Here is a 10,259-nt window from a genome sequence, read left to right on the forward strand (position 1 = left end):
TATTGGTCAGGCTGATCTGGAGCTCCTGACCTTGTGATCCGCCCACCTTGGCCTCCTAAAGTGCTGGGATTACAGGTATAAGCCACTGTGCCCAGCCCAGTTAACTGTTAATAAATTTTTTTTTCCCAAAATGGAGTCTTGCTCTGTCACCCAGGCTGGAGTGCAGAGGTGCAATCTCGACTCACTGCAACCTCTGCCTCACAGGATCAAGTGATTCTTCTGCCTCAGCCTCCTAAGTAGCTGGGATTACAGACATGGGTCATCACACCCAGCTAATTTGTGTATTTTTCATAGAGACAGGGTTTCACCATATTGGCCAGGCTGGATTCGAACCCCTGACCTTGTGATCCGCCTACCTTGGCCTCCTAAAGTGCTGCAAATATAGGTGTCAGCCACCATGCCCAGCCTTTTTTGCTTTTCTATGCACTTAGGAGAGTGAGCCCATCGTTCAGTAACAATATGACTCAGTACTGCAAGACCTTTCAAAGCCTATTTCCAGTTGGTGAAGGAGGGTTTCGATGATCACTGGACCTTCATGCCCTACCATTTGGAGACTGCATCTTTTAAAATGACACCAAGGGAAATCTGCCCATGAGCAGCATTGGATGGGACCATACCAGGTGACTTAAAATTAAGGATAACCAAGGAACAAAGTCTTTCTTAGAAGCAGACATCATCACATGGTAGACAGCTTTTTTAAGAAAATGGGACAAAACTCCATTTGATCTCCTTCCACTGACTGAGACTTGGTTTTGTTTTGTATTAACACAAAATGATCAAGCCTACATTTTATTTTGTTACGTACTTTCACCAGTCAAAGCAAACACTTTCTAAGTTCTCCTATTCAAAATTTAGCCACTCTCACTAACCAAAGCAATTACTGGCTATGGAGTCATTTAGATGAATGGGAAGGATCACAACTAATAGTAGAACCTGCTCTCACACACGGTTGGTTAATATTGATAATTAAATGACTTGGCACTGAGCAGAAGCTATAGATGCAAATGGGTGGCCTATGACTATTGTTGATTTCATTACTTGTAACTTATCTCCATGCATAGGAAACATTAGTGTAACCGGGTCTAATCTAGGTAGTGTCCCAGACTCCCCTTGGAATCAAACTCTTTCATTTGACACACATTATGAAGACTGAAATGCTATAAGTATTGACATAGACACAGAATCAGAACATGACCATGTTATCCTCTGCCATATAATCAGAGAACTTACTGAAACTAGACATTTGTTCATTGGAAACTCGAGGCAAATAGAATGCATCTATAGCTCTACCATATGAAATAAACAATAGTTTCATTTATTGGATGCATCCATACTCAGCACATATTTGGAGAAGACCCTATTCATTCTTCAATGGAGATGACATGCAAGGATTATATAATAAAATTCATAAAAATATTTTTTCATCCCACCCCAGTTCAAACTGTCACCATGCAACCTGGTGTCAGTGGAAGGTAAGGCGCTTAAGGCAGAAATAATTAAATAAATCTTCATTGGAAGCTAAATGTGAGAATCAATGTGGAAGACACAGACCAACAAAGTGGGTGTGTTCCAAAGTCTGTTACAAGTTGGAATGCTTTTGTGAGAAAAGTTAAAAGAAGGGAATGAGACTCCTCCTATCAGCTTTTTTTTTAAATTTTCTTTTGTTTTACTGACCTGGCAAGGCTCAAATAGAGTTGAGTTTTTGTTTTGTTTTTGTTTTTTCCATTGGAAGGTACAATACAGAGGTTACAATCATTGACTTTAGCTGACAACATAACAAGTTAAACATTTTCCTTGCAAGACAACCAGTGAAACTTCATGATCAGAATCAAATCAGTGTCCTTCTCACTGTAAGTGGGTGAAGCTTCATCAATAATTGCAGAGTTTGAGGCACTCATGAACTCAAGATCAGATTCTTTACTCAGGGACAGAATGTAAGCCAATCATAAGACCTTCCACAGGTGGTTAATTTGGACTCCTGAAAAATGTGACCTGTAAGTTTTCACTGGCAATATGCAGGTGCACATATGACAAATAATAACCAGGACCTTTATATCACCCCCAGCTGGTGGGGAATGGGATCCTTTTGACCCTTTCTCTCCATAATACCAGGCTACTCATGTTGTGTGGCAATAAAATATATGGTCTACTTCACAGAGAAAGAGATTCTTTTTTAAAAAAAAAGGATTTTTATTATGAAATGAGCAAAGCAATGGGAATAGATGTGAGATTATTCAGGGAGGTAAAGGAAGACAAAGGTTTTGAAAGGAAAAATCAGGAGAATTACATACACTGTTTTGGAAGACTCATTCTTGGTCACAAGTATCAACACCAAGGGGGCCTCAGTGCAATGTTGGAAAGATTCCTCCTCCACGCCCTCAATAACCCCCAACATGTTTACCAAGTCTTGGTTCACTCCCCGGATCCCATTAAAACACACAGCTCAACCCTGACCAGCCTCCACCTTCACTTCCCTTTGTAATTTTGACATGACTTTTTTTACAGGACCATCAGGTTCCTATGCCTGCAGCACAGTAGCATACTAATATTCTGAGACAGCAGGGTTTGCAGCAGAGAGTTTAACGATCACAGGGTGGCAAAATGAAAAGCTGGGAGGAGACCCTCAAATTCATCTCCCCAAGAAGTACTGAGAGTTTTCAGAGGATCATGGATAGCAAGAGGCTGGAAAGTTGGTGCAGTTTGGTGGCAGTAAGAGGTATGAAGTCATCAGGATGTCAAAACTGCATTCCTTGGTGAGTTGGTGCCTTGCAGGGCCCTTCAGATCACCTGCCATCAGTAGCTTCACTGACATGCAGAACCTGAAAGAATATGTCAAATGAAAAAGTTAATGTTTTACAAGGCCTAAATTGTTGTCTGCAGGGCAGTTAAGGGCAACTGTAATCTAAGGTCTACATGATTTTGGGACAGCAGGCTGCCAGCAACCATGAGGAAGCAGGTCAGAGAGCAAGCTGACCTCATGATGAATGCTGAATGCACTGCAAGCTTGGTTTATGTCTGTTTCTCCCCCTCCCTTCTTCACTGATTAAATTTATAAAGTTTATAAGTATGGTTGCAATTTCTTCCAGAGTAACCTTAACCTAAGCCCTGAGACCACTCAGGTCCTCAGTGGCACCTCTCTTCCACCAGCAGGAGTGAAAAAATTGCTACCTTAGGTGATATAAAACCCACAAGACCATTCAATACATGGAGATTTTTATTTTGATTTTGTAGGGACGACTCCTCTGTTTTTATAAAGCTATTTTAACTATAAAACATTTTTGTGATTTTGATGTGGCCAAAGATCTCCCAACAATACTACTTTCAGATTTTAGTTTTCTGTCTAATATCTGGGAAAGATTAGACCCTTCCCTGCTTCAGACTCAGGACTATGCAGGTCACATATTAGTGAAATTCCATCAGTGTTTGTGAAGTTCACGAATGAATGAATTTTTTTTTTCCGACAAATTCTCCCTCTGTCACCCAGAGTGGAGTGCAATGGTGCAATCTTGGTTCACTGCAACCATTGCCTCTTGGGTTCAAGCGATTCTCCCACCTCAGCCTCCTGAGTAGCTGGATTACAGGCATGTGCCATCGTCCCTGCCTAATTCTTGTATTTTTGTAGAGACGGGGTTTCACCTTGTTGGCCTGGCTCGTCTTGAATGTCTGAACTCAGGTGACCCACCCAACTTGTCTTCCCAAAGTGCTGGGATTACAGGAGTGAGCCACCTTGCCCGGTCTTGAATGAATGCATTCTTGATTCCCACCCTATCCCTAACACTGTCAATTTCTTGATTCATGAACTTAATATGGATATCTGATATGAATGGATATCTGATTCAATCCATTAATCTGGGGAGAGCCAAAACCCCAATCAGGATTAACTGGGTGGAGCTTCAGAAATGCAATCAGATATCACTTGTTGATTGGAAGCTAGCAGTGGATACGTGGAGGGGTGTGGGTGGGAGTTGTGATTAGAAAGGTCAATAAAAGCTTCTAAAGACCCACAGAAGAGACCCAAAGTCTTCAAGTCTGGAGTTCCTGCTTAGTTCTTCCTGAGGTCTGAGCACCCTCCAAACTGAGTCCAGATCTGGTAAGTCACTAATCTCTCTGTAAGGACACTCCCAACTGACCTACAGTCAGCTGGTCTGGGATGGTGACAGTGCAGCCTAAGATGGCATAGAGTTATATCCTGTTTTGTTTTTTTTCTCATATGAACAATTTGAAGCTTTGCATTTTTTCCTCTAAATGCAGTTTTGTCTTTATTTCAAAAAATTGGATTGTGCTTTGGTTTATGTCATTTCAAAATTCTTGAAGGGAGCAGTGACTCATGCCTTTAACCCCAACACTTTGGGAGACCAAGGCGGGAGGATCATTTCAGCCCAGGGGTCTGAGACCAACCTGGACAACACGGCAAAAACCCATCTCTATAAAATATTCTTTATTGAAGGGGGGATGGAGTCTCGCTCTGTTTCCAAGGCTGGAGTGCAGTGGCACGATCTCAAATCATTGCAACCTCTGCCTCCCAGGCTCAAGCAATTCTCATGCCTCAGCCTCCTGAGTATCTGGTATTACATCCAACTGCCAACTTGCCTGGCTACTTTTTGTATTTTTAGTAGAGGTGGGGTTTCACCATGCTGGCCAAGTTGGTCTCAAACTCCTGACCTCAAGTGATCCACCTGCCTTGGCCTCCCAAAGTGCTGGGATTACAGCCATGAGCCACTGGTGCTTGGCCTCTACAAAATATACATATTTTTTAATTAGCCGGGCATGGTAGCATGCATCTGTCTTCCCAACTGTATGGGTTGCTGACATGGGAGAAACAATTGAGCCCAGAAGATTGAGGCTGCAGTGAGCCATGCTCATACCACTGCTGTACTCCAGCCTGGGCAACATTGCGAGGCCCTATTAAAGAAAAAAAATCTTAACCAAAGAGGATCTTTGACCTTAATTTTAAACCAATCACATCCTCATTGTAACTCTTCCACCCAAACGGAGACATGGGTGTGGAGGTGCATGCCTGTAATCCCAGCTACATGGAAGGCTGAAGCATAAGTATCACTTGAACCTGGGAGGCAGAGGTTACAGTGAGCTGAGATGGCACCACTGTACTCCAGCCTGGGTGATGAAGTGAGACTCAGCTACCCCGACACGAAAAAAATTAAATTATACCACCCAGGTGATCATTGGATTCATGAAGATTTCTACTGTGTTTTCTTAGGGACTGTCATGTCTATCTTTGTAAAACTGTTTTAACTCTGAAATATTTTGATAAATTTGATGTGGCCAAGGATCTCTCAACAAAGATACTTTCGAGTTTTTTTCTTTCTGTCTAATGTCAGGAAGAGATTCAACTCTTCCCTATCTCACACTCAGAACTACAAAGGTCACATATTACTAAAATTCCATGTTTGTGGAGTAAATCAGTGAATGAGTCCTGGACTTTCACCATATCCCTAAATATTTCACTTTCATGGATGAATATCTAATTTGATAGTTAATCTGGAAGAAAGACAAAAATCCAATCATGATTAACTGGATGGAGCTTAAGAAGTCTAATCCAATGTAGTTCTCTCTCTCTCTCTCTCTTTTTTGAATCTAGCCAATTTCCCAGGCTGGATTGTAGTGGTATAATCTCAGCTAACTGCAACCTATGCCTCCTGGGTTCAAGCGATCCTCCTGCTTCAGCCTCCCTAGTAGCTTGGACTATAGGCGCAGACCACTGCACCTGGCTAATTTTTGTAATTTTAGTAGAGGTAGTGTTTTACCATGTTGGCCAGGATGGTCTCAAACTCCTGACCTCAGATAATCCAATGCCTCTGCCTCCCAAAGTGCTGGGATTACAGGTGTGAGTCACTGCGCACAGCCAAAGTGGTTCATTTTGAACATGCGTAAGAGGTGTGTATTGGAAACATCTGTGTCTTGCGAATGATGCATAACACTGTCACACAGCTTTCAAAGCTTCTTGGTGAAATTTTCAATAATGAGTCCGGGAAGAGGATTACGCCTGTAATCCCAGTACTTTGGGAGGCCAAGGCGGGTGGAATGTTTGAGTCTAGGAGTTCAAGACCAGCCTGGACAACATAGTGAAACCCACTGTCTTTACAAAAAGTCAAAAAATAAAAGATTAGCTGGGCATGAGATCCGAGCTTCAGAGATCCTCGGTAACATTTCCCAGTGCTATGAGTTTATTGCAACAGTGGCTAATAATTCATGGACTAGGAGGGATCTTGCCTGCTCTTTAGAGGTTGGGACACACTCTTCTTGGTACCAGAAGGGCAGAACCATGCCTCTGTAGCCACTTATTGCAGAACGGAATTGGAGTAAACTGAGGGCTCTTTCACACGTGCTAGAGAAATGACTTTGGCCCTAGGAGAAGTGGGGCTTGCTGGGGAATGGCCCGAGAAACTTGCCTTTTCACTTGATTGTCCTCTAGAGTTTTTCCTCGGAGATTTGTCAGAATGAGCCTCCAGGCCCCATCCAGACTGCTGGAGCTGGCAGGGCAGAGCCTGCTGAGGAACCAGTTCTTGACCATCTTCACCCTGGATGAGCTGCCCAGGGAGGTCTTCCCTCTGATGTTCATGGAGGCCTTCAGCATGAGACGTTTTGAGGCCCTGAAGCTGATGGTGCAGGCCTGGCCCTTCCTCCGCCTCCCTCTGGGATCCCTGATGAAGACACCTCATCTGGAGACCTTGCAAGCTGTCCTGAGGGGACTTGATACACTGGTGGCCCAGAAGGTTCGCCCCAGGTGAGGTGACTCAGGTGGCTTTCGGGGAAGGGTCCAGGCATCCAGGGAAGGGACAGCTGGCTCAGGAGGAGTGGTGGGGTTGGGGAGCTAGGGTGGCTCAGAGGCTTCTGACGGTGCCCATGAGAGGCCTTGGCCATTGCCCAGATCCTCTGGAAAAGGTCTGCTCACCATACAGGGTCCACTGAGGAAACAGGAGCTTGCTTCCTCCCAGCAGAAAGTAAAGGTACTAGAAGTGGGTACCAGGCAGAATCCAAGAGGGAGCAGGATGGAGAAGAGACAGAAGGAGGAGCACTGAGGACAGGAGCAGCTGACTGATGTCCTGGATGTGGAGTGAAAGCTCAGGTCAGGGGTGGGTCCTTGCCTACATTCTGAGCTTTTCCCCTATGTTACTCATAGGAGGTGGAAACTTCAAGTGCTGGATTTGCAGGATGTTGATGAGAATTTCTGGACCATATGGTCTGGAGCCAGGGTCCTCTCCTGCTCCCCAGAGGCCATGAGTAAGAGGCAGACAGTGGAGGACTGTCCAAGGATGGGAGAGCACCAGCCCTTGAAGGTGTTCATAGACCTCTGCCTAAAGGAAAGTACACTGGATGAATGCCTGAGCTACCTTTTTGGGTGGATCCACTACAGAAGAGGCCTAGTGCACCTGTGTTGTAGTAAGGTGCAGAATTACTCAATGCCCACTTCAAGTTTCAGAAATCTATTGGAAAGGATATACCCAGACAGTATCCAGGAGTTGGAAGTCTGGAAAAAGTGCTCTCTCAATAAAACGGGAAAGTTTGCCCCTTACCTGAGCCAGATGAGCAATCTTCGTGAACTCTTTTTAGCCTTCGGTTATGAGCGTGAGTTGTACGTGAGCGTCCAGTGGCCGTGCATTCCTGACTTGGACTCTCCATTCCTCTGCCTGTACTACCCCCAGATGCTTTATATAAAAAAGATCAGTAATATCAAAGAGCACCTGGAGCACCTGCTCAGGTAAGAAATGATGGTGAGCTTTCTCTGCAGACCATACCACAGACTTATGTTCTTTTTCACAGTAAATGTTAGTGGGCATCTACTGTGTGCCAGCCACCGGTGATGTCATAGGGAATGGGACGCTAGAATGTCAACTCATTATGCTCTTCAGTGCTCTATATCCTGAAGTGGGTATCACAAGACCACTCAAATAAGGGCAGAGGGATGGCCTGGGGTAGATGCCACAGAGAGAGGTGTGTAGGGAGCCGGTTAGTTGAGGGTTCAGATCTAGTGAGGGTGCATTTGTGAACTCCTTGTGAGGAACAGTGTATAAAGTTAATATGATGAAAACACATTCTTCATACAGAGGATGGTATGAAAGAAGGGAAGGTGTGGCCGGTTGTGGTGTCTCATGCCTGTAATCCCAGCACTTCGGGAGGCCAAGGCAGGGAGATCATGAGGTCAGGAATTTGAGACCAGTCTGGCCAACACAGTGAATCCCCGTCTCTAATAAAAATACAAAAAAAAAATGTCACCGGGCATGCAGACAGGCACCTGTAATCCCAGCTGCTTGGGAGACTGAGGCAAGGGAAGTGGAGGCTGCAGTGAGCTGAGTCGGTGCCACTACACTCCAGCCTAGGTTACAATGTGAGACTGTCTCAAAAAAAAAAAAAGAGAAAGTACATCAAACCTGTGCATTCCACAGTAGCAGCTCTGTCTTCAGCAGCTTAGCAAACTGCTCTAATTCCCTGTCTGTAAAACGTTGTTTTGAACTCCAGGAAAGATAATTGATATCAGAAGTGCATGCTTCTGGGATGGAGGGTGAGGGACTAGGTGTGAGAGTGGTACCAATCACACAGGCAAGGGTGAAAGGACTGAGCCTAAAATGGAGTGGCCCCTGAATGATCTGAGTCTTCATCAGGCAGCACCTTGCATGCAGACCATCATCTGATGATGGGAACAAACTTGTGTTTGGGTGAAACAGGCTTCCCCATTGCAGTTACTATAACACCTGTGTGGTAGTAAGGTGCAGAATTACTCAATGCCCACTTCAAGTTTACCATTGAGATGATTTCCCACCCCCCTCCTCTAACTGGCACCATTGCCCATAACTAACTTCTTGCTCTCCCCAGGTACCTCAAGAACCCCTTGGGGGCCTTTATATTCAGTGATGCTTACCTAGCTGATCGGGACATGGAGTGTCTGTCTCAGTACCCAAGCCTCAGTCAGCTAAAGGAGCTGCGTCTGATTCATATCCTAATGTGGACCACCAATCTTCAGCCCCTTGGAGCTCTGCTAGAGAAAGTTGCTGCTACTCTCAAGACCCTCGTCTTAAAGGACTGTCGGATCCAGGACCCCCAACTCAGGGTCCTCCTGCCTGCCCTGAGCCACTGTTCCCAGCTCACCACCTTCAACTTTCATGGAAATGAGACCTCCATGAATGCTCTGAAAGACCTGCTGCGTCACACACGTGGGCTGAGCAAGTTAGGCCTGGAGTTGTATCCTGCCCCTCTGGAGAGTCTTGACTACAAGGGTCATGTCAATTGGGAGATCCTCACCCCAATTCGGGCTGAGCTGATGCGTACACTCAGGGAAGTCAGGCAGCCCAAGAGGATCTTCTTTGGTCCCGTCCCTTGCCCTACCTGTGGCTCATGGCCATCTGAGAAAGTGGACTTCCATCTTTGCTCCTAGGGAAGGCCTGGTTCGTGGGATGGATAAGCTTTTTTCTGGACACTTGGGAACTAAAATATTGTACATGGGTGCATTTTTTAAAATTTTATTTTATTTTTTATATTTTTTATTTTATTTTATTTTTATTTTATTTTATTTTATTTTTTGAGACAGAGTCTCACTGTGTCCCTCAGGATGAAGTGCAGTGGCACAATCTCAGCTCACTGCAAGCACCACCTCCTGGGTTCAAGTGATTCCCCTGCCTCAGCCTCCCAAGTAGCTGGTGTTGTGGGTGTATGCCCCCACGCCTGGCTAATTTTTGTATTTTTAGTAGAGACAGGGCTTCACGATGTTGGCGAAGGCTGACCTCAAACTCCTGACCTCAAGTGATCTGACCACCTTGGCCTTCCACAGTGCCAGGTTTACAGGTGTGAGCAGCAGGGCCCGGTCACCCGCTTCTTAAAGGAAGCACACAGCCACGTATTTGAGGCACGTGCTCACTGTGAGTGGAAAAACAAAGGTGACTCAGCCAGGGGCAGGACTGGGTAAAAATGCTGACTTGGCATCAATGAGGCCTTCAGGGACCTGTGTCCTAGACTTAGAAATGGAACCTGAAGTTCTAGAGTGATGCAGGACTTACCCCTGCAAGGATGGTTATTTAAAAATGTCAAAAATAAATGGAACCTGAATGGAAACTTTCTGGTGTCTTCCATGATTGATCAACCTGTTTTAGACATTTATACATCAGAAGTCTCTAGAAATCTGCCTCCTGGGTTCAAGCAATTCTCCTGCCTCAGCCTCCTGAGTAGCTGGAACTACAGGGACCCGCCACCATGCCTGGCTATTTTTTGTATTTTTTGTAGAAACGGGGGTTTCACCATGTTGACCA

General features: G+C 45.1%; 1 protein-coding gene across 1 annotated transcript; it reads left to right on the forward strand.

Moving 5' to 3' along the window:
• Window positions 1–4,042: 4,042 nt before the first annotated feature.
• PRAMEF33 (PRAME family member 33) lies at window positions 4,043–9,411 on the forward strand. Its single transcript, NM_001291381.1, has 4 exons — window positions 4,043–4,090; window positions 6,434–6,745; window positions 7,142–7,720; window positions 8,833–9,411. Exons 2-4 carry the CDS (start codon window positions 6,459–6,461, stop codon window positions 9,389–9,391), a joined length of 1,425 nt encoding a protein of 474 aa, NP_001278310.1. The 5' UTR covers window positions 4,043–4,090; window positions 6,434–6,458; the 3' UTR covers window positions 9,392–9,411.
• Window positions 9,412–10,259: the final 848 nt, after the last annotated feature.

The sequence above is a fragment of the Homo sapiens genome, chromosome 1, assembly GCF_000001405.40.
Source record: "Homo sapiens chromosome 1, GRCh38.p14 Primary Assembly".
Taxonomy (NCBI): Eukaryota; Metazoa; Chordata; class Mammalia; order Primates; family Hominidae; genus Homo; species Homo sapiens.

What these genes read in the sequence shown, in the direction of transcription:
- PRAMEF33 (NM_001291381.1), top strand. Translation starts at nt 6,459, where the DNA reads ATGAGCCTCCAGGCCCCATCCAGACTGCTGGAGCTGGCAGGGCAGAGC. An exon ending in GCCCAGAAGGTTCGCCCCAG is followed by an intron (nt 6,746 to 7,141) that starts GTGAGGTGACTC and finishes TGTTACTCATAG; the next exon opens with GAGGTGGAAACTTCAAGTGC. An exon ending in CACCTGGAGCACCTGCTCAG is followed by an intron (nt 7,721 to 8,832) that starts GTAAGAAATGAT and finishes TGCTCTCCCCAG; the next exon opens with GTACCTCAAGAACCCCTTGG.